The sequence below is a fragment of the Homo sapiens genome, chromosome 19 (assembly GCF_000001405.40).
Source record: "Homo sapiens chromosome 19, GRCh38.p14 Primary Assembly".
Taxonomy (NCBI): domain Eukaryota; kingdom Metazoa; phylum Chordata; class Mammalia; order Primates; family Hominidae; genus Homo; species Homo sapiens.
Genome location: NC_000019.10, coordinates 9,383,090 through 9,407,790, shown reverse-complemented (window position 1 = coordinate 9,407,790; position 24,701 = coordinate 9,383,090). Strand labels below are relative to the sequence as shown.

The window sequence follows — 24,701 nt, the reverse complement described above, 5'->3', positions numbered from 1 at the left end:
GGATTGCAGACGTGAATAAAACACCCGCCCCAAATCACTTTTAAATCCTACCACGTCTTGGCAGGTGTTTTATTCACACGGATATTTAGAAAATGCCAAAAAGGGTTTGTGTGTGTGTATGTGTGTGATATAAAGGTTCTGGTTTGGTTGTCAAAAATATAGGAAGAACTACAGTACACAGGGCTTTAAATTCCAAAGTTTTTCTTTGCTTGTAGACTGATATTTATCATAGTCCCTGGAGGAGGGTGTAAGGCCTCCAGCGACCCAGGATCCAGTTTCAGAGACTTCTTCATTAGGTTAGTGAATGTGGCCAAGTTACACCGCCCGTCCATGCCTCTGTTTTCCATCCATAAAGAGGGCAACATAAAAACGCTCTTGAAGGAGAAGAAGGGGAACCCCTCCCACGGCTCCAGGAGACCCCTGTGCAGATTTCACCTGGGGTCTGCATGGCCTGAAGGGTGGCTCTCCCACAGGCAATCCCGCCTCCAGGGCATCGCCCCGCCCCATTGTCTCCGTCTTGGTATCGCCCCGCCCCTTCTGCCTTTCCCGGGGGACGCTGGGATCTCTCTACTAGCTTTGGAAAGTCGCGGCTGTAGCGCCCTTCTAACGTCACCACGCGGCTCTCGTGGCTCCTGTTTCTCAGCCCATTCCAGGTCACCTCCCCCCCCTCCCCCGTTGCCCTCATGCCTGGAAACGGAAGTGCGCTCCCGGAAACGGAAGTGAATGCCGTACTCCGCGTGCAGGCCCGCCTCCTTCCACATCAACCAGTCTAAGGTTGCTCCCACCAGACTAGGAGGACTGGAGAGTAGGGTTGGGGTCAAAGGGTAGCCTCCTGCAGGTCGCCTCCTCCTGTGGCTTTCCCGGACGTCGCGCTGGGACTTCCTGCCGACACCGCACTTCTTCCCAGACTCCCACCTGCGCCGCTGGGGGCTTGGGTCCAGGTAAAAGGCGGGTCGGGAGTGCGGGCAGCGAGCTTCGGTGGGGCCTTTTCGTCCGCGGTCTCCCCTTTCCCAAGCCTCTTCATCAGCCTTTGCAGACTTTCTGCAGAAGGAAGAAAATCTCTTGCTGGAGTCGTGGTTGTTTTGTCCCCAGCAGCTTCACCGACCAGGGGATTCCAGCCAGTTTGGGTGAACACTGGGTGAATTTGTTCTTTTGGGGGATGTTCTTTATATTTGGTAAATTATGTACAGGTGGAGAAATTAGAAACTCATTGTTAGGGAGTACGGGCATCTGACACAATTAAATGCATGGGTGAATGAATGCATGTAAATGCAAATTTTACTGTCACGGAAAATCAGCTCGGTATTCAGCTCAGAACCCTGTAAATCTCTAAGCTTCAAAATACAAGCATCTCCAGAGAAAAAAAGAGAACATGCAGGCTTGTTTTTGTATCACAAATGGGAATTGAGTTGACCATAAACAGCAAGAGCCTTTTCCAAGTGGATTTTCCTTACCTTGTTAATTTGGAAATTTTCAAACTGAAGAAAATGTCAAAGTCTGGTACAACAAACCACCATTGCCCTAGATTCACTAAGTAATTAATCTCTTGTCATTTCCTTTTTTTGAGACAGTCTCACTCTATTGCCCAGGCTGGAGTGCAACAGCACGATCTCCGCTCATTGCAACCTCCACCTCCCAGGTTCAAGTGATTCTCTTGCCACAGCCTCCCAAGTAGCTGGGATGACAGGCGCAGACCACCACACCCAGCTAATTTTTGTATTTTTAGTAGAGACGGGGTTTCACCATGTTGGCCAGGCTTAACTCCTGACCTCGTGATCTGCCCTCCTGGGCCTCCCAAAGTGCTGGGATTACAAGCACGAGCCACCGCGCCTTGCACATACGAAGGTTTATAAGCTAAAAGTAAGTTGACGGTGAGGTAGGAGGCGGGACTAGACTCTGGAGTCTAGTGGGCTTGGACACCCCACCAAATTGAAGACTAGCTAAAACAGGTCTGTGCCACATGAATATTTTTTTTTGGTGTCTCCACTATTGAGTAGGTTCTCAGGTGGTCAGGGCCTCTGAGGTCTCCCTTTGGGCAATGCTGCTTACCCCCTTCCTTTCCTCCCTTCCACAGTTACCATTTGTTTAGCTCCTCTCTGCCCAGCCCTCTGGAATTTAGGTTCAACATCCAACTGTCCATTTTTAGCTCCTAATCCACTTTTATAACACCCTGCTATTTATATTTACACCTTTCTGGAAGGTGGGAATTTAAAAGGGAAAATTAACTAGACATTTGCTAAACTTAGGCTGAAACCCCCTGTAGCGATCCTTAGTCGACCTGGGGACAACAGCAAGCATCCCAGAGGACTTGGCACTGGAGTGTCTTTTACGCTATTGGAGCAAGTTCAAATTCGTCTTAAGAAGAGACTCATTTTTTGTTGCAGCACTGTTTGGGTTCAATACAGATTAGAAAACTAACAGATTTGGCCTACATATGGTTCTATACATTATAATGATATTTACAATTAGACTTATTTTGTAAAAAGGAAAATGGGAAGACGTCCCTTATGTACAGGCTTTTATGGCTCTTTACAGGCTCATGTTAATTCCAGGGACCAGAATGCCATGCCTAAGGGATCCCCTCCTAGCTGCTCCCTTTAGAAGGCTTACGTTTTCCCCAGGGTCTCTTCAGTCCCCCAATTCTGAGGGGCTTCCTACCAGTTTTTCAATGAAGGAACCCACCCCAAGGTCATCACTCACGCCTCCCCCTTATGCAAACTAGCCCCTATCCCTCCCACTTCCCAAGAGAGTAAGCCCAACCAGTATCACCAGGAGTGGGGCCCCATATCGGCCCCTAAAGTGAAACCTGTGTGCATTGTGGGTGGTAGCTAGTGGAAGTAAGGGAACATGTGCCATTTTCTGTGTCTAATTTGGCTTTATGCAAGGAAAAAATTGGACAGTTTTTAGAGAATCAAGAAAAGTTTATAGAGAAGTTTGTTAAGTTAACCATGTTGTTTCATTTAACTTGTTATGACTCACAAATATTGTCATCCGCTTGTTGTGTTGTGGGGAAAAGAAGTGGAGAAAAAAGGTGTGGTATATACCTATATAAATCCTATTAATCCTATTTCTCTGGAAAACCCTCACTAATACAGGATTGGTTTTTGTTGTTGTTGTTGTTTGTTTGGTTTTTTTTTTTTAAAGAGATGGGGTTTTGCCATGTTGCTCAGGCTGGTCTCGAACTCCTGGACTCAAGTGACCCACCCACCTTGGCTTCTCAAAGTGCTGGGAGTACAGACATGAACCACCATGCTCGACCTTGTTGAAACTTTTTGCATCTGTATTTGTGAGCCATGGTGTTGGCCTGTAGTTCTCTGTTGTTTTAATGTCTTTCGTTTTGGTATTAGGGTGATGCTGGCCTCACAGAATGTTAGAAAGTATTCCCTCTGCTTTTTCTGGAAGAGATTGTAGAAAACTGGCATACTTTCTTACTTTCTTCCTTAAATGTTTGGTAGAATTCACTAGTGAACACATCTGGACTTGGTGCTTTTTGTTTTGGAATGTTATTATTCTTTTTCTTTATAGATACAGATCTATTTAGATTGTCTGTTTCTTCTTGTGTGAGTTTTGGCAGTGATATGGTTTGGCTGTGTCCCCACCCAAATCTCATCTTGAATTCCCACATGTTGTGGGAGGCACCCGGTGGGAGGTAATTGAATCATGGGGCAAGTCTTCCCCATCCTGTTATTGTGATAGTCAATAAGTCTCACTAGTTTTGACTGTCTTAAAAACGGGAATTTTTCTGCACAAGCTCTCTCTTTGCCTGCCAACATCCACGTAAGATGTGACTTGCTCCTCCCTGGCTTCCACCATGATTGTGAGGCCGCCCCAGCCACGTGGAACTGTGAGTCCAATTAAACCTTTTTCTTTTGTGAATTGCCCACTTTCGGGTATGTCTTTATAAGCAGCATGAAAACAGACTAATACAGGCATATTGTTTCTTTCACATCACTGATGTATTTCATCTAGGCTTTCAAATTTGTGGATGTAGAATTGTTCATGAAATTGCTTTATTATCCATTTCGTATTTGTTATTTTTATTTTTTATTATACTTTAAGTTTTAGGGTAGATGTGCACAACGTGCATGTTAGTTACATATGTATACATGTGCCATGTTGGTATGCTGCACCCATTAACTCGTCATTTAACATTAGGTATATCTCCTAATGCTATTCCTCCCCCTCACCCCACCCCACAACAGGCCCCGGTGTGTGATGTTCCCCTTCCTGTGTCCATGTGTTATCACTGTTCAATTCCCACCTATGAGTGAGAACATGTGGTGTTTGGTTTTTTGTCCTTGGGATAGTTTGCTGAGAATGATGGTTTCCAGCTTCATCCATGTCCCAACAAAGGACATGAACTCATCATTTTTTATGGCTGCATAGTATTCCATGGTATATATGTGCCATATTTTCTTAATCCAGTCTATCATTGATGGACGTTTGGGTTGGTTCCAAGTCTTTGCTATTGTGAATAGTGCTGCAATAAACGTACATGTGCATGTGTCTTTATAGCAGCATGATTTATAATCCTCTGGGTATATACCCAGTAATGGGATTGCTGGGTCAAATGGTATTTCTTGTTCTAGATCCCTGAGGAATCACCACACTGACTTCCACAATGGTTGAACTAGTTTACAGTTCCACCAACAGTGTAAAAGCGTTCCTATTTCTCCACATCCTCTCCAGCACCTGTTGTTTCCTGACTTTTTAATGATTGCCATTCTAACTGGTGTGAGATGGTATCTCACTGTGGTTTTGATTTGCATTTCTCTGATGGCCAATGATGATGAGCATTTTTTCATGTGTCTTTTGGCTGCATAAATGTCTTCTTTTGAGAAGTGTCTATTCATGTCCTTCGCTCACTTTTTGATGGGGTGGTTTTTTTCTTGTAAATTTGTTTGAGTTCATTGTAGATTCTGGATATTAGCCCTTTGTCAGATGAGTAGGTTGCAAACATTTTCTCCCATTCTGTAGGTTGCCTGTTCACTCTGATGGTAGTTTCTTTGGCTGTGCAGAAGCTCTTTAGTTTAATTAGATCCCATTTGTCAATTTTGGCTTTTGTTGCCATTGCTTTTGGTGTTTTAGACATGAAGTCCTTGCCCATGCCTATGTCCTGAATGGTAATGCCTAGGTTTTCTTCTAGGGTTTTTATGGTTTTAGGTCTAAGATTTAAGTCTTTAAGAGATCCAGTTTCAGCTTTCTACATATGGCTAGCCAGTTTTCCCAGCACCATTTATTAAATAGGGAATCCTTTCCCCATTGCTTGTTTTTGTCAGGTTTGTCAAAGATCAAATGGTTGTAGATATGTGGCATAATTTCTGAGGGCTCTGTTCTGTTCCATTGGTCTATATCTGTGTTTTGGTACCAGTACCATGCTGTTTTGGTTACTGTAGCCTTGTAGTATAGTTTGAAGTCAGGTAGCATGATGCCTCCAGCTTTGTTCTTTTGGCTTAGGATTGACTTGGCAATGTGGGCTCTTTTTTGGTTCCATATGAACTTTAAAGTAGTTTTTTCCAATTCTGTGAAGAAAGTCATTGGTAGCTTGATGGGGATGGCATTGAGTCTATAAATTACCTTGGGCAGTATGGCCATTTTCCCGATATTGATTCTTCCTACCCATGAGCATGGAATGTTCTTCCATTTGGTTGTATCCTCTTTTATTTCATTGAGCAGTGGTTTGTAGTTCTCCTTGAAGAGGTCCTTCATGTCCCTTGTAAGTTGGATTCTTAGGTATTTTATTGTCTTTGAAGCAATTGTTAATGGGAGTTCACTCATGATTTGGCTCTCTGTTTGTCTGTTATTGGTGTATAAGAATGCTTGTGATTTTTGCACATGATTTTGTATCCTGAGACTTTGCTGAAGTTGCCTATCAGCTTAAGGAGATTTTGGGCTGAGACGATGGGGTTTTCTAGATAAACAATCATGTCATCTGCAAACAGGGACAATTTGACTTCCTCTTTTACTAACTGAATACCCTTTATTTCCTTCTCCTGCCTGATTGCCCTGGCCAGAACTTCCAACACTATATTGAATAGGAGTGGTGAGAGAGGGCATCCCTGTTTTGTGCCAGTTTTCAAAGGGAATGCTTCCAGTTTTTGCCCATTCAGTATGATATTGGCTGTGGGTTTGTCATAGATAGCTCTTATTATTTTGAGATACTCTCATCAATACCTAATTTATTGAGAGTTTTTAGCATGAAGGGTTGTTGAATTTTGTCAAAGGCCTTTTCTGCATCTATTGAGATAATCATATGGTTTTTGTCGTTGGTTCTGTTTATATGCTGGATTACGTTTATTGATTTGCGTATGTTGAACCAGCCTTGCATCCCAGGGATGAAGCCCACTTGATCATGGTGGATAAGCTTTTTGATGTGCTGCTGGATTCGGTTTGCCAGTATTTTATTGAGGATTTTTGCATTGATGTTCATCAGGGATATTGGTCCAAAATTCTCTTTTTTTTATTGTGTCTCTGCCAGGCTTTGGTATCAGGATGATGCTGGCCTTATAAAATGAGTTAGGGAGGATTCCCTCTTTTTCTATTGATTGGAATAGTTTCAGAAGGAATGGTACCAGCTCCTCCTTGTACCTCTGGTAGAATTCGGCTGTGAATCCATCTGGTCCTGGACTTTTTTGGTTGGTAAGCTATTAGTTATTGCCTCAATTTCAGAGCGTGTTATTGGTCTATTCAGGGATTCAACTTCTTCCTGGTTTAGTCTTGGGAGGGTGTATGTGTCAAGGAATTTATCCATTTCTTCTAGGTTTTCTAGTTTATTTGCGTAGAGGTGTTTATTCTCTGATGGTTGTTTGTATTTCTGTGGTATCAGTGGTGATATCCCCTTTATCATTTTTTATTGCATCTATTTGATTCTTCTCTCTTTTCTTCTTTATTAGTCTTGCTAGTGGTCTATCAATTTTGTTGATCTTTTCAAAAAACCAGCTCCTGTATTCATTGATTTTTTGAAGGGTTTTTTGTGTCTCTATTTCCTTCAGTTCTGCTCTGATCTTAGTTATTTCTTGCCTTCTGCTAGCTTTTGAATGTGTTTGCTCTTGCTTTTCTATTTGTTTTAATTGTGATGTTAGGGTGTCAATTTTAGATCTTTCCTGCTTTCTCTTGTGGTCATTTAGTGCTATAAATTTCCCTCTATACACTGCTTTGAATGTGTCCCAGATTCTGGTATGTTGTGTCTTTGTTCTCATTGGTTTCAAAAAACATTTTTATTTCTGCCTTCATTTCGTTATGTACCCAGTAGTCATTCAGGAGCAGGTTGTTCAGTTTCCATGTAGTTGAGCGGTTTTGAGTGAGTTTCTTAATCGTGAGTTCTAGTTTGATTGCACTGTGGTCTGAGAGACAGTTTGTTATAATTTCTGTTCTTTTACATTTGCTGAGGAGTGCCTTACTTCCAACTATGTGGTCAATTTTGGAATAAGTGTGGTGTGGTGCTGAGAAGAATGTATATTCTGTTGATTTGGGGTGAAGAGTTCTGTAGATGTCTATTAGGTCCACTTGGTACAGAGCTGAGTTCAACTCCTGGATATCCTTGTTAACTTTCTGTCTTGTTGATCTGTCTAATGTTGACAGTGGGGTGTTAAAGTCTCCCATTATTATTGTGTGGGAGTCTAAGTCTCTTTCTAGGTGTCCAAGGACTTGCTTTATGAATCTGGGTGCTCCTGTATTGGGTGCATATATATTTAGGATAGTTAGCTCTTCTTGTTGAATTGATCCCTTTACCATTATGTAATGGCCTTCTTTGTCTCTTTTGATCTTTGTTGGTTTAAAGTCTGTTTTATCAGAGACTAGGATTGCAACCCCTGCCTTTTTTTGTTTTCCATTTGCTTGGCAGATCTTCCTCCATCCCTTTATTTTGAGTCTATGTGTGACTCTGCACGTGAGATGGGTTTCCTGAATACAGCACACTGATGGGTCTTGACTCTTTATCCAATTTGCCAGTCTGTGTCTTTTAATTGGAGCATTTAGCCCATTTACATTTAAGGTTAATATTGTTATGTGTGAATTTGATCCTGTCATTATGTTAGTTGGTTATTTTGCTCATTAGTTGATGCAGTTTCTTCCTAGTCTTGATGGTCTTTACAATTTGGCATGTTTTTGCAGTGGCTGGTACCGGTTGTTCCTTTCCATGTTTAGTCCTTCCTTCAGGAGCTCTTGTAGGGCAGGCCAGGTGGTGACAAAATCTCTCAGCATTTGCTTGTCTGTATTTTATTTCTCCTTCACTTATGAAGCTTAGTTTGGCTGGATATGAAATTCTGGTTGAAAATTCTTTTCTTTAAGAGTGTTGAATATTGGCCCCCACTGTCTTCTGGCTTGTAGAGTTTCTGCTGAGAGATCAGCTGTTAGTCTGATGGGCTTCCCTTTGTGGGTAGCCCGACCTTTCTCTCTGGGTGCCCTTAACATTTTTTCCTTCATTTCAACTTTGGTGAATCTGACAATTATGTGTCTTGGAGTTGCTCTTCTTGAGGAGTATCTTTGTGGCTTTCTCTGTATTTCCTGAATTTGAATGTTGGCCTGCCTTGCTAGATTGGGGAAGTTCTCCTGGATAATATCCTGCAGAGTGTTTTCCAACTTGGTTCCATTCTCCCTGTCACTTTCAGGTACACCAATCAGATGTAGATTTGGTCTTTTCATATAGTCCTATATTTCTTGGAGGCTTTGTTTCTTTTCATTCTTTTTTCTCTAAACTTCTCTTCTTGTTTCATTTCATTCATTTGATCTTCCATCACTGATACCCTTTCTTCCAGTTGATCGAATCGGCTACTGAGGCTTGTGCATTTGTCATGTAGTTGTTGTGCCTTGGTTTTCAGCTCCATCAGGTCCTTTAAGGACTTCTCTGCATTGGCTATTCTAGTTAGCCATTCTAATTTTTTTTCACGGTTTTTAACTTCTTTGCCATGGGTTCAAACTTCCTCCTTTAGCTTGGAGTAGTTTGATCATCTGAAGCCTTCTTCTGTCAACTCGTCAAAGTCATTTTCCGTCCAGCTTTGTTCCATTGCTGATGCGGAGCTGCGTTCCTTTGGAGGAGCAGAGGCGCTCTGATTTTTAGAGTTTCCAGTTTTTCTGCTCTGTTTTTTCCCCATCTTTGTGGTTTTATCTACCTTTGGTCTTTGATGATGGTGATGTACTGATAGGGTTTTGGTGTGGATGTCCTGTTTGTTAGTTTTCCTTCTAACAGTCAGGACCCTCAGCTGCAGGTCTGTTGGAGTTTGCTGGAGGTCCACTCCAAACCTGTTTGCCTGGGTATCAGCAGCAAAGGCTGCAGAACAGTGGATATTGGTGAACAGCAAATGTTCCTCTGGAAGTTTTGTCTCAGAGGAGTACCCAGCCATGTGAGGTGTCAGTCTCCCCCTACTGGGGGATGCCTCCCAGTTAGGCTACTCAGGGGTCAGGGACCCACTTGAGGAGGCAGTCTGTTCATTCTCAGATCTCCAGCTGCATGCTGAGAGAACCACTGCTCTCTTCAAAGCTGCAGACAGGGACATTTAAGTCTGCAGAGGATTCTGCTGCCTTTTGTTTGGCTGTGCCCTGCCCGCAGAGGTGGAGTCTACAGAGGCAGGCATGCATCCTTGAGCTGCGGTGGGCTCCACCCAGTTCAAGCTTTCCAGCCACTTTGTTTACCTGCTCAAGCCTCAGCAATGGCGGGCGCCCCTCCCCCAGCCTCACTGCCACTTTGCCGTTTGATCTCAGACTGTTGTGCTAGCAATGAGCAAGGCTCTATGGGCGTAGGACCCTCCGAGCCAGGCGTGGGATGTAATCTCCTGGTGTGCCGTTTGCTAAGACCATTTGAAAAGTGCAGTATTAGGGTGGGAGTGACCCGATTTTCCAGGTGCTGTCTCTCACCCCTTTCTTTGACTAGGAAAGGGAATTCCCTGACCCCTTGCGCTTCCCAGGTGAGGTGATGCCTCGCCCTGCTTCAGCTCACGCTCGGTGCGCTGCACCCACTTTCTGACACTCCCCAGTGAGATGAACCCGGTACCTAAGTTGGAAATGCAGAAATCACCCGTCTTCTGCATCACTCATGCTGGGAGCTGTAGACTGGAGCTGTTCCTATTTGGACATCTTGGCTCCGCCCCCCATTTCATATTTATGAGATCTGTAGTGATGTCCCTTCTTAATTTCTGCTATTAGTAATTTGTGTCTTCTCTGTTGTTTCTTTGTTAGCCTGATGAGAGGTTTATTTTATTCATCCTTTCAAAGAACCAGCTTTTGGTATTGTTGATTTTACTCTATTTTCTGTTTTCAATTTCACTGACTTTTGCTTGAGGTTTTTTGTTTGAGACAGTGTCTTGCTTTGTTGTCCAGGCAGGAGTGCAGTGGCATGATCATGGCTCACTGCAGCCTCAAACTCCTGGACTCAAGGGATGCTTCCACCTCAGTCACCCAAATAGAGGGGAGTACAGGCATGTGCCACCATGCCTGGCTTTTAAAATTTTTGTAGAAATGGAGTCTAGCTGTGTTGCCCAGGCTGGTCTCAAAACTCCTGGCCCTCAAGTGATCCTCCCACACTGGCCTCCAAAAGTGCTGAGATTACAGGCATAAGCCACCATGTCTGGCCTTGAATTTTTATTATTTCTTTTCTTCTGCTTACTTTGGATTTAATTTGCTTTTTTTTTTTTTTTTTAGTTTCCTAAGGTGGAAGCTTAGATGATTGGCACAGATCTTTTTTCTTTTCTAACCATTCAGTGTTATAAATTTCCCCCGAAGAACTGCTTTTGTTGCACCCCACAAATCTTGTTAAGTTGTATCTGTTGTCAGTGCAAATTTTTTAAACTTTTTTTGAGATTTCTTGTTTGACCTATTTATTTAGAAGTGTGCTGTTTGATCTTCAAGTATTTTGAGATTTTTTTAGCTGTCTTTGATTAGTTTCCAGTTTAATTCTGTTGTGATCTGAGAGCATACATTGTATGATTTCAGTTCTTTCATATTTGTTAAGAGGTGTTTCATGACCCGCAGTGTGGCCTGTCTTGATGAATATTCTATGTGAGCTTGAGAAGAATGTATAATCTGCTGGTTTTGGATGAAGTAATCTATATATGTTAATTATATCCAGTTGATTGATAATGCTGTTGAGTTTTACTACATTCTTACTGATTTTCTCCCTGCTGGATCTGTCCATTTGTGATAGAGGGGTATTTATTTTTAATTAATTTATTTTTTCATTTTTTTTTTTTTTTTTGAGATGGAGTCTTGCACTGTCACCTGGGCTGGAGTGCCATGGCGTGATCTCAGTTCACTGCACCCTTTGCCTCCTGGGTTCAAGCGATTCTCCTGCCTCGGCCTCCCAAGTAGCTGGGACTATAGGTGTGCACCACCACACTTGGCTAATTTTTACATATTTAGTAGAGACGAGGTTTCACCATATTGACCAGGCTGGTGTCAAACTCCTGACCTCGTGATCTAACCGCCTCGGCCTCCCAAAGTGTGCCACTGTGCCTGGCGATAAAGGGGTATTTAAATCTCCAGCTATAATAGTGGTTTTATCTATTTCTCCATGCAGTTCTACTAGCTTTTACCTCATTTTGATGCTCTGTCATGTGTACACACATTAAGGATTGTTATGACTTCTTGGAATATTGGTCTCTTTAAGTTATGCCCCTCTTTATCCCAGATAACTTTCCTTGATATGACGTGTGCTCTGGTCCAGGCACAGGGTCTCACATCTGTAATGCAGAACTTTGGGATGCTGAGGTGGAGGATCGCTTGAGGCTAGGAGTTTGACACCAGCCTGGGCAATGTAGCAAGACCCCACATCTGTAATTTAAAAAAGTTGAAGTCTGCTCTGTCTGAAATTAATATAGCTACTCCTGCTTTCTTTTGATTGTCATTAGCATGGTATATCTTTCTTCATTCATCTTTTAATCTATATGTGTCTGTTTAATTAAAGTGGGTTTCTTATAGACAATGAATAGCATTCCTTATAGCCCTCGTCATCTAACCTATTGACCACTGGCATATTACACACCTACACCCCATCACCAATCCTCAACCCCCATCACTGACCTTAACTAATGCACTTTCCATCCCTGGTAAATATTCTATGGGCGCCACAGTACTTACCTCTAAATTCCCAATGAGCAATCCCACGGACCTTCCATCAATGACTCCACAGTTCCCCAGTATGACTGACCATCTGAATCTCCACCAAGCCCCCTTGGGATCACATCGCTGACCCCCACATAGCCACACCATTGATTTCAGACTGCACATCCCTGACCCCGCTTCATATATATCACCGACCCCACAGAGCTGCAACATAGCACCAGAGATTCCTCCATTGATCTCTGTATAATCCCTATTACTGCTCCTAAGGAATCTCTATCACTAACCCCACAGTGTACATGTTACTGACCCCAGAGACTCCTAATCACTGTCCCTACAGACCTTCATCACTAACCTCACAAATCCTCACTGTATTGATGTGTTTTCATGCTGCTAATAAAGACATACCTGAGACTGGGTAATATACAAAGGAAAGAGGTTTAATTGACTCACAGTTCCACATGGCTGAGGAGGCCTTACAATCATGGCAGAAGGCGACTGAGGAGCAATGTCCTGGCAGTAGGCAAGAGATCTTGTGGAGGGGGACTTCCCTTTATAAGTCCATCATATCTTGACTTACTCACTACCGCAAGAACAGTATGGGGGAAACTGCCTGTAATTCAGTTATCTCCACCTGGCCCCACCCTTGACATGTGGGGATTATTACCATTCAAGGTGAGATTTGGGTGGGGACACAGCCAAACCATATCACTCACTAACCCCACTGACCCCTGTGGTCTCACAGTAGAGATGAATAGACCTCATCACTGATCATAAAGACCCACAACACAAACCACCAAAGACTCCCCATTATTTCTTTTCTTTTTGTTTTTAGACAGAGTCTTGCTCTGTCACCCAGGCTGGAGTGCAGTGGTGCGTGATCTCGGCTCACTGCAACCTCCGCTTCCTGGGTTCAAGCGATTCTCTTGCCTCAGCCTCCTGAGCAGCTGGGATTACAGGCACACACCACCACACCCGGCTAATTTTTGTATTTTTGTAGAGACAGGGTTTCACCATGTTGGCCAGGCTGGTCTCGAACTCCTGACCTCAAGTAATCCTCCCTCCTCAGCCTCCCAAAGTGCTAGGAGTACAGGTGTGAGCCACAGCGCCTGGCCACTCCCCATTATTTCTAATAGTGGTGTAAGCTGTTATCTCTTGGTTAAGATAGTGTCTGGCAAGTTTCTCCACTGTGCATTAATTTTTTTAATTTAATTTTTTGTTTTTCTTTAGACTGAAAAGTTGCAAAACTGCATTAATTAAAAGTAGGTTATACTTAAATGCTTTTAGGGGGCAATGTGTTAAGACTATGTAAATATCTTTTTCCTCTTAGAAACTCATCCACCAGTAATGATTCTTGTCTGGATTAATTATTATTATAATAGTTGCCAATTTTTTTTTTTTTTTTTTTTTTTGAGACAGAGTTTCGCTCTTGTTGCCCAGGCTGGAGTGCAATGGCATGATCTCGGCTCACTGCAACCTCCCCGGCTCCTGGGTTCAAGCGATTCTTCTGCCTCAGCTGGGATTACAGGCATGAGCCATTATGCCTGGCTAATTTTTAATTTTTTTAGTAGAGATGGGGTTTCTCCATGTTGGTCAGGCTGGTCTCCAACTCCCGACCTCAGGTGACCTGCCCACCTCAGCCTCCTGAAGTGTTAGGATTACAGACGTGAGCCACCACACCCGGCAATTTTTTTTTCTTTCCAACTGTCTGTGCCTTCCAGATTTCCCGTTTGTCGTACTGCTCTAGGTTAGAGATTTTTTTCCTCCCTATTTCTTTCTTCATTTATTTGTAGCAGTGTGAATTCATGGGTTCCCATATACTCATTACTTATTTTGCTCTAGTTGTCCCAGCTTTGGCCAGTGGAAGGCCCCTTGGCTGCCTCCTGTATCCCCTTGACATGACCCGTCATTCCATGAGAACTTTCCAGTCTTAAGATGTTCTAGGCTCATCTCATATTTTTCCTTCTCCAGCCCTGGAGTCAGCCTTTTCTCCAAAGAGCTCTAGTTCCTTTAAGAGGATAATGGTATTTAGAAACCAATTCTGGGCACTAAGTATTATCATTGCTACCTTGGATTCATTGCTTTCAGGGCCTCTCAGCAAACAGGAGTAGAGAATAAGTGTTTTTCTACCTAAACACATTTGTGGATATAAGTATACACATTTGAGTCCTATATTATATGTTAACAGGACTTTACACTAATATTTTCAATTAATCAGGACAGGTATTATTCTCACCTTCCCCTTTCCTGTTTGTAACTCTTTTCTCAGTGAGAAGGCTAGCTTCCATTATCCTCATTGGCTTTTAAACCCTCATTTGCATCTGTGTTACCCAAAAGCTTGGCTGTGGACATGCTGGCCCCTGCAGTCCCCCACACCTCAGGGGTACCTTCCAAAAGGACACTCTGCTGAAAAGGAAGAGAAAGGGGGAAGGAGGAAAGGCCAAAGATTGGTTTTGTTGTGAAACCTTTCCACATTCATTGTAGAAACACTGGTAAAATACCTGAGAGCAAAGAGGATATTAAATTGGATACATTTCAATCTCCAGAAAACTTTTCTTCTTAAAAAAGTTTTTTTTTATATACAAATGGAGTATTACTACGTTACTGAGGCTGGTCTCGAACTCCTGGGCTCAAGCAATCCTCTTGCCTTGGCCTTTTAAAGTGCTGGGACTGCAGGTGTGAGCCAGCATGCCTGGCCTCCGGAAAACTTTTCAGATGAAATAACTAAATTTAAAGCAATGGATCTAATTGTTAACATAATGTATAATGGCCAAAAAGTCTGAAACTTCAGGGTAGTAGTGTATTCATTATACTTTTTTTAGATTAACAGTTGGACCCCCTGATGCTAATTTGGAGGTGCTTCACCTATAAAGATAGGTCATGGTTGAAAAAAAACCAAATTGAACATATACTTTGAAAATGTATGCGTGTGTGTATGTATATATATATTTACTTTTTAGACAGAGTCTGTTTCCCAGACTGGAGTGCAGTAGTGCAACTTGGCTCACTTCAACCTCCGCCTCCTGGGTTCAAGCGATTCTCATGCCTCAGCATCCTGAGTAGCTGGGACTACAGGTGCATACCACCATGCCCAGCTAATTTTTGTATTTTTAGTAGAGACGGGATTTCATCATGTTGGCCAGGCAGGCCTCGAACTCTTGACCTCAAGTGATCCGCCTGCCTCAGCCTCCCAAAATGTTGGGATTACAGACGTGAGCCACTGCGCCCTGCCAGAAAAAGTAATTAACATATATTTATAGAAACTATAGTTCCTGACTTTTCATACACTTTTTTTTTTTTTTAAGAGAGTCTTACTCTCATTCAGGCTGGAGTGCAGCGGCATGATCAGGCTCAGTATAGCCTTGAACTCCTGGGCTCAAGCCATCCTCCCACCTCAGCCTCTCGAATAACTGGGACTACAGGCACACACCACCATGCTGGCCAATGTTTAAATTTTTGTAGAGACAGGGTCTCCCTATGTTGCCTAGGCCAGTCTTGAACCCCTGGGCTCCAGTCATCCTCCTGCCTCGGCCTCCCAAAGTGCTGGGATTATGGGTGTGAGGCACTGTACCTGACCAATCTGTTTGTGAGATAGCTTTGTGGTTTTCTTTTTCTGCCATATTATCTGGTACATAGCATGGTTATGCCAGCCTCATAAGGGTAGTTGGGGGAAGATTTCCTCTTGTATTTCCTAGTATTTTTTGGTAAGGGGAGATCAGGTTTAGGTTTATTTTTTCACATGACCTAAATGTGTGGTTCATGAATTAAATAACAAATACTCTTGTAACCACGACCCCGTTCAAGATGTAGAACTTTGCCTCAAATACCATGTCCCAGTCACAACTGCCTCTTTCTTCCCTCAGAGTAACCACTCTCATGACTTTTATAGTAATCATTTATTACCTTTCACCCAAATGTGGAACCCCAAACATTATTTAATTTTTGCTCATTTTTGGATGTCATTTTTTAGTCTTCCCCGTTTTATTTTTTGAAGCACCTGGATTAAGATCTAGAGTTATGTGTAGTGTGGATTTTGCTAATTGCATTCTCATAGGGTTGTCAGCGTATTTCTTTTTATATCATAGTTGGATCTAGAGATAAGATTCAGTTTCATTTTTGGGGAGGTGGTGGCACATGTGATCTTTGATCAGAAGGTACATAATGTCCAATGGTGTCTCTTTTGTGAGTGTTAGTAGTCATTGGTGCTCAGTGTCTAGACCCAATTTTTTTTTTTTTTTTTTTTTTTGAGGCAGAGTCTTGATCTGTCACCCAGGCTGGAGTGCAGTGGCACGATCTTGGCTCACCGTAACCTCCACCTCCTGGGTTCAAGTGGTTCTCCTGCCTCAGCCTCCTGAGTAGCTGGGGTTACAGGTGTGTGCCACTGTGCCCGGCTAATTTTTGTATTTTTTTTTTTTTTTTTTAGTAGAGACGGTGTTTTGCCATGTTGGCTAGGCTGGTCTTGAATTCCTGGCCTCAGGTGATCCACCTGCCTTGGCCTCCCAAAGTGCTGGGATTACAGGCATAAGCCACTGCGCCTGGCTGAGGTTTTTTTTTGAGACATGGTTTCATTCTGTTACCCAGGCTGTAGTGGAGGGACACCATCATACCTCACTGCAGCCTTGACTTCTGGGTTCAAGCAATACTTTAACCTCAGCCTCCTGAGTAGCTGGGGCCACAGGGCATGTACCACCATGCCCAGCAAATCTTTTCATTTTTTGTAGAGATAAGGCTTTGCTTTGTTGCCCAGGCTGGTCTCAAACTCCTGGGTTGAAGTGATCCCCTCATCTCAGCCTCCCAATGTGTTGGGATTACAGGTGTGAGCCACCATGCCTGGCCTAGATCCATTAATTTTTAATAAACTGCTGAATTTCTTAGCTGGAATATGTTCCAGTTACCATTGGGTTAACTGGTGGTAGAGTTCATGGAATTCTGGAAAATTGGTACCAAGAAGTAGGGTGTTACTGACAACGAGAAATACCTGAACATGTGGAAGCAGCTTTGAAACTGGGTATAATGGGGCAGAAGGTAGAATAATTTGGAGGAGCAGACTAGAAAAAGCCTAGATTCTGATGAAGGCTTAGAAAACAAAGCTAGGTAAAGATTTGGAACGCCTTAGAGATTTGTTAAGTGGCTGTGTCTAGAATTTTGATAGAAATATGGACAGTAAAGGCCATTCTGATGTGGTTTCAGCTGGAATTGAGAAAGAAGGCATTGGAAACTGCAGTAAAGGCTGTCCTTGTTATAAACTGGCAAAAAACTTGGCTGAACTCGATCCATGCCTGAGGGCTTTGTGGAAGGCCTAATTTGAGAGTGATGAACTAGGGTATGTGGCAGTAGAAATTTCTAAGCAACACATAGGAGTTGCATGGTTACTTTTGGCTATTTGTGCCAAGATTCAGAAGCAAAAGAACAACTTAAAAGACAGAATTTATGTTAAAAGGGAAGCACCATGGAAAAATCTGGGAAACTCTTAGCCTGGCCACATAGAGTGAAAAAGTGTGTTCAGGTGGGGAAACTAAGGTCGTACCCTAGTGATCCTTTGCTGAAGAGATTAGCACAGAAGGGAGCCGGGTGCTTTTACTCAAAACAATGGAAGAAAGACCCTGAAGGCATTCTGGAGATTTTCAAGGTTGCCCCTCACATTACAGGCCTAGAGGCCTACGAGGGCACAGTGGCTTCAGGGGACAGACCAGTCATTCTCCATAGTTTGCTGCTGAGTTGCCTTGGAACTCTGCTCCCTGCACCTCTGCACAGTGCTCTGTGGCTGCCCAGCTATAGCTTAAGTGACCCAGGTGCAGCTCATGCCCTTCAGAAGGTACAGGTCATAAACTTTGGTGGCATCCATGTGCAGCTAATTCTGCAGACTTGCAGAATGGAGGTTTGGCAGCTTCCACCCAGATTCCAAAGGATGTCATCAAAAGCCTGGAGGCCCAAGCATAGACGTGTTGTAAGGATAGAGCAACTGCAGAGAGTCCCGACCAGAGCCATGGTCACATGCAGAAATGTGACGTTGGGGCTGCTACAGAATCCCCACCAGGGCAATACCTAGTGGAGCTATGGGAGTAAGAATGCCATCAGGACCCCAAAACTGCAGAGTAACCAGCAGCATGCAACGCCCACCTAGGAAGTCTTCAGGCACAAGTCCTCAAACTGTATAAGCCACTATTTGGGATGCACCCAGCAAAACCAGAGGGGCTGGGCTGCCTGAGGCCTTGGGGGGTCAAACTGTGACCTCAGTTTTTCCAGGAGGCAGCACGTGGAGTCAAAAGAGATGATTCTCCAGCTTGCAGATTTATGGTCTGCCCTGCTGGGCTTCAGACTTGATTGGGGCCTGTTACTTCTTTTTCCTCATTCTCCCCTTTTGGAATGTGAATGTCTGTCTTATGCCTGTACCACTACTGTCTCTCGAGAGTAGGTAACTTGTTTTGATTTCACAGGCTCACAGATGATACTCTGGACTTTGAACTTTTGAGTTGGTGATGGAATAACTTGAGACATTTAGGCTATAGAGAAGGAATGAATGTACTCATATGTGAGAGGAGCAAGAGTTTTTGAGGGCCGGGGCGGAATGCTATAGTTTGAATATTTGTCCCCTCCAAAAACTCATGTTGAAATTTAATCTCCCATGTGGCAGTATTCAGAAGTGGGGCCTTTAAGAGACGACTGGTCTTGAGGGCTCTGCCCTCTTGAATGGATTAATTCATTAATAGATTGAGGGATTAATGGGTTAATAGATTAATAGGTTATGTGAGTGGGACTGGTGGCTTTTTTTGTTTTGTTTTGTTATAAAAGAGTCAGGGTCTTGTGCTTGGTCACCCAGGCTGGAGTGCAGTGGCACAATCATGGCTCACTGTAGCCTCAACCTCCTGGCCTCAAGCAGTCCTCTCACCTCAGCCTCCGAAGTAGCTAGGACTACAAGTGCACACCACCACGCCCAGCTTATTTTTAAAAACATTTTTTTGTAGAGACAGTCTTGCTTTGTTTCCCAAACTGCTCTCAAACCTTTGAGGCCTCAAGGAGTATTCCTACTTTGGCCTCCCAAAGTGCTGGTATTACAGGCATGAGCTCCTGTACCCTGCAGGACTTGTGGCTTTAGAAAAAGATGAGGAGATCCAGGTGCAGTGCCTCACACTTAATAATCTCAGTGCTTTGGAAGCCCAAGACAGGATCACTGGAGCCCTAGGTGAGATCACTTCAGTCCAGGAGTTTGAGACCAGCCTGTGCAACTCAGTGAGACCCCATCTTTACAAAAAATACAAAACTTTGCCATGTGTGGTGGCATGTGTCTGTAGTCCCAGCTATTCGGCAGGCTGAGGCGGGAGGATTGCTTGAACCTGGGAGGTTGAAGCTGAAGGGAGCCACAATCGTGCCACTGCACTCCAGCCTGGGTGGCAGAATGAAACCCTGTCTGGGGGTAATAAAAAAGAACAAAGCTGGAGGCATCACTCTATCTGACTTCAAACTATACTACAAGGCTGCAGTAAGCAAAACAGCATGGTACTGGTGTAAAAGCAGACATACAGACCCTGGAACTTATTACAGAGTTCACACTAAGTTATTGTTGCTTTAATCAATCAATAGTCTTTAAATTAAAAAAATAGTATTTTATATTTGTCCACCTGTTTGCCCTTCCATACTCTTTAATTTCATCCCATCAATCTGCATGCACCTCAGCCTGGGATTATTTCTCTTCAGTATGAAACACTTCCTGTAGTATTTCCCATAGCACAAGTTTGACAATTTATTTTGTCAGCTTTTGTCTCAAAATGGAATTTTGTATTTTTGAAGATTTTTTTTGCAAAGCATACAATTAGGTTTTTCTCTTTCAGCACTTTAAAGATACAATTACATTTTTCTTCTCCCTGTTATGTCACTGAGAAGTCAGCCACATTTTTTAAAATCCTGAACGTACTTTCTCTTTCTTAAGATTTTTTTTTTTTTAACAGATTGATGGTGAACTGTGTGTGGTTTTCTTTGCATTTATCCTGCTTAGGTTTGCTGAGCTTGACTCTGCTGGTTTGATGTTTTTAATCAGTTTTAGAAAACACTCATTGTTTTCCCGTGTCCGTAAGTTAGGCACATTTCTGTTAACCTATCTTTGAGTTCACTGATTGCCCTCTCCCCCACCTTTATTTGCTGTGTTTAGTTTGCTTTTAGGCCCACTTACAGAATTTTTTTTTAATTTCAGAAATTATAATTTTTACCTCTAGATTGTCTGTTTCTACTTTAGAGATTCCACTTAGATACTGCAATTTTATGTACTTTCTTTTTTTTTTTTTTTTGAAACAGTCTTGCTCTGCCACCCAACCCTGGAGTGCAATGGCGCAATCTTGGCTCACTGCAACCTCTGCTTCCCAAGTTGAAGTGATTCTCCTACCTCAGCCTCCCGAGTAGCTGGGATTACAGGCATGTGCCACCACACCTGGCTGATCTTTCTTTTAGTAGAGATGGGGTTTCACCATGTTGTCCAGGCTGGTCTCGAACTCCTGACTTCGTGATCCACCCACCTTGGCCTCCCAAAGTGCTGGGATTACAGGTATGAGCCACCACGCCTGGCCTGCAATTCTATATATATTTTCATCCATTTGAAATTTTTTGTTTTAACGTATCTGTCATAAGTTATAGGGGCAATTCTGAAACTGCCCCTATAAACTTTATAAAATTAATCAGGAAAGAAGAGAGAGGGATAAATGAAAAACCAAGCTTATAGCACATTCAACATTAATGAAGTTTAATCTCTGACCTACTTCTTCATAGTTCACTGGTGCCTATTGTCCTAGAATCATGTAGACCCTGTGTATTAGTCTGTTCTCATGCTGCTAATAAGGACATACTACCTGAGACTAGGTAACTAATAAAGGAAAGAGGTTTAATGAACTCACAGACCCTCATGGCTGGAGAGGCCTCACAATCATGGCCCAAGACGAAGAGCAAAGGGATATCTTACATGGTGACAAGCAAGACAGCGTGTGCAGGGGAACTGCCCTTTTATAAAATCATACGTTCGTGAGACTTATTCACTACCATGAGAACAGCACAGAAAAACCCACCCCCGTGATTCAGTTACCTCCCACTGGGTCCTTCCCATGACAGGTGGGGATTCTTACAATTCAAGGTGAGATTTGGGTAGGAACACAGGCAAACCATATCACCCTGTTACAAGATTAACTACTCTATTGATAACTTGACCATTATAAAACATTAAGTTTTTCCTTTGAGATACTCTTTCACACTTTTTACATGCTGATATACCTACCATTTCAGGTGGTCTGAAGGACCCCATTGACTCAGCTGGTCTGAGGGGCACCACGAGCTGACTTACCAAAGAATCTAGTTTCCACATCCTGATGACTTTATCCTGCTTGCTCTGACCATCAACAACCCTAATTCTCCAGTCCTTCACCCTCCCTGATCCCCTTTAAAACTCCAGCCTGGAACTTCTTGGGGATATAGATGTCTCCTCCTATCTCCTTACTTGGCGCCCTGTGGTAATTAAACTCTCTGCTTAATCCGTGTCTGTGTAATTGGTCTGCTACTACACAGCAGACATATGAACCTGTTGGTTCTATAACAATTCTAAAGTCCTTGTCTGCTAATTCCAACTTCTCATATCATCTATGGGTCTATTTTTGTTGGACCTTTTTCTCCTGATGATTGGTAACATTGACCTGCTGCTCTGCACATCATGTGATGTTTTAAGTTGGATGTGGATATTATGCTTAAAAGAACAGCAGAAATTGAAAAATATTTTCATCTGGAAGTCACTCCATTTCCTCTGCCAAGCAGTTTAGGTGAGAATCTCCTCAACTTTGATCCAATCAGAGGTTGGGATGTAAAAATTAGTTTTGGTTCACTTCGGGTTTCAAACATCTTGAGTAAGATCTTTCCTATGACTATTTCAGACCACTCCCTCTAACAGGACTGTGGAATCTAAGCACTACAATAGGGATATCCATTTTTTCCTGGTTAGTGCCCAGCACCAGCTGTTGCTACACACTCAGCAAATCATTATAGGGATACGCAGCACTGGTAAAGAGAGTCTATTTTATATTATAGTGTCACACTAGCCTTGTGACCATTAATGCCCCCTGGTCTCTCCATATTCCAGTAAAGTTCCTCTGCCTGTGGCAGGCCTGGCTCTCCGCCAATCTGCTCCTAGACCAGGAAAATGCCTTCAGGGAAGAAACCAGCCACTGATTTCTGCTCTTCTAGGAGGAGCTCATCCTCTGGCATTTAATTCTTTCACTCCTTTTTTTGTCCACAGATTTCCAGGGTCTTTGAAGATGTTAGTTCACTGTTTATTCATGTGGGTTCCTGTAAATGTCTGCAGCCAATCTGGAAGTGGAGCTGTATTTGGAACTTTTTGAATCTAAATCAGTTTGGGAGAAGTGAGTCTTTTCAGAATTTGACCTTTCAATGAATGTCTCAAATTTGTTTACGTCATCTTTAATGTTTTCAATACTGTCTTCAAAACAATTTGGTAAGTTTAAAATTTATTCTTCCACAATTTTGGTAAGTTTAAAATTTATTCTTCCATATGTTATACCATTGTTGCTCTTATAAATGGTATTGACTTTTAAATTTTATTATTTCTATTCCTGAGTATAAGTTGCAAGTTTATCTTTATTAAGATAGTAAACATTTTCATTAATTTAAATATAGATCCTTTGAAATTTTCCATTTAGGTAATCATATTATAAATAATGACAGATTTACTTCTACCTTTCTGGTCCTTAGGTTTTTAAATATCTTTTCCTAGCCTGCCTCACTTAAGATTCCAGTAAAATACTAAGTAGTGGATACCATTGTCATCTTCCTGATTTTAAACTCATTTTCTATTTTCCACCATTCATTTATTGTTTACTTTTGCATTTTTTTATACAATGTTTATCATATTTTCAAAGATTTTTCTCAGTAATACCTCTTTATGGCTTTTTCTTTATCTACTGAGATTATCCTATTTTTTCAATAATGCATTAAATGCTTTGAACACTGCCTCATTCATTCTAGGTGCCTAGTAATTATTAGTATGAGTGAATGAGTAATAAGCCTATTTTAAAAGTGAATTGTATTTATTGATTTTTCTAATGTAAAACCAACTTTGCATTTCTGGATAAATTTAAATGCGATATGATGGTTTCTTTTTAAAAAATACCCAGTTCCGGCCAGGCATGGTGGCTCACACCTGTAATCCCAGCACTCTGGGAGGCTGAGGTGGGCAGATCACGAGGTCAAGAGATCCAGACCATCCTGGACAACATGGTGAAACCCCATCTCTAACTAGCTGGGTGTGGTGGCCCTTGCCTGTAGTCCCAGCTACTCCGGAGGCTGAGGCAGGAGAATCACTTGAACCCAGGAGGCGAAGGTTTGCAATGAGCTGAGATTGCGCCACTGCACTCCAGCCTGGCAACAGAGCGAGACTGCATCTCAAAAAAAAAAACGAAAAAAAAAAAAAACCCAGTTTCCTTCTATTTCATAAATTATTTTTGAAGGTTTTCAGGCTTCATTCTGTCCTTGTCTGAGTTTGTTATCCTGCCCTCATATACTGCCAGAATGTTTTTGTTTTTTGTTTTTTTGAAATGGAGTTTCGCTCTTGTTGCCCAGGCTGGAGTGCAACGGTCCAATCTCGGCTCACTGCAACCTCTGCCTCCCGGGTTCAAGCGATTCTCCTGCCTCAGCCTCCCAAGTAGGTGGGGTTACAGGCATGTACCACCATGCCCAGCTAATTTTGTATTTTTGGTAGAGATGGGGTTTCTCCATGTTGGCCAGGCTGGTCTCGAACTCCCAACCTCAGGTGATCCGCCCGCCTTGGCCTCCCAAAGTGCTGGAATTACAGGCGTGAGCCACCGCGTCTGGCCGAGAACGTGTTATTTTTCTAAATTCTCCAAGTGTTGTCATATTGCGTCAATATGGTGCCTCCAGAAACCAAAAAAACCGACCAAGCATTGTGCTGTTTGTGATTAGTAGTACAAATTGCAGCAATTCTCCTTTCACCTTAGAGGGAATATCTTGACAAGCGCCAGACAACTGAACCCCTAGAAACTTCAGGTGGTTAGCCTGAATGTTTGGGTGTATTCCCCAACAAACATTCACGTCTGTCTTACGAAAGAACTCATAAAGGCATCAATAGAGAGGACAAGTTGTGGGATGTAAAGATGACCATACCTGCTGGATGTTATTGCAAGCAACAGTATAACTGATGTAACGCTGAGAAAAAGTAAGTTGCTCCTGGTTGTCCTTACAGGTTGAGAAAATGGTATTTCTAGGTCAGTAGCTCACATTTGTAGTAAATTAATGAACATTAGTTATTAGGGGAAAAGTATGGGCACTAATAGCACAATTTGCCAGAAACATAAAATGAGTAAACTTAAATGTACCCAATTACAGTGCCCCCCAAAAAAGGAGAGTTTTTTTTTTTTTTTTTTCCCTGAGACACGGTCTTGCTGTGGCCCGGGCAGGAATGCAGTGGCATGACCTCGGCTCACTGCTACCTCTGCCTCCTGGGCTCAGGTGATCCTCTCACCTCAGCCTACTGAGTAGCTGGGACTTACAGGTACACAATACCATACCTGGCTAACTTTTTTTTGTTTTGTTTTTTGTAGAGATGGAGTTTCGGCTCATTGGCTGGGCTTGGTCTTGAACTGGTAAGC

General features: G+C 42.8%; 1 long non-coding RNA gene across 1 annotated transcript; it reads left to right on the top strand.

Moving 5' to 3' along the window:
* Positions 1 to 730: 730 nt before the first annotated feature.
* LOC112268250 (uncharacterized) lies at positions 731 to 23,051 on the top strand. Its single transcript, XR_002958434.2, has 3 exons — positions 731 to 941; positions 20,341 to 20,587; positions 22,316 to 23,051. It is a non-coding gene; the product is annotated as an uncharacterized LOC112268250 (long non-coding RNA).
* Positions 23,052 to 24,701: the final 1,650 nt, after the last annotated feature.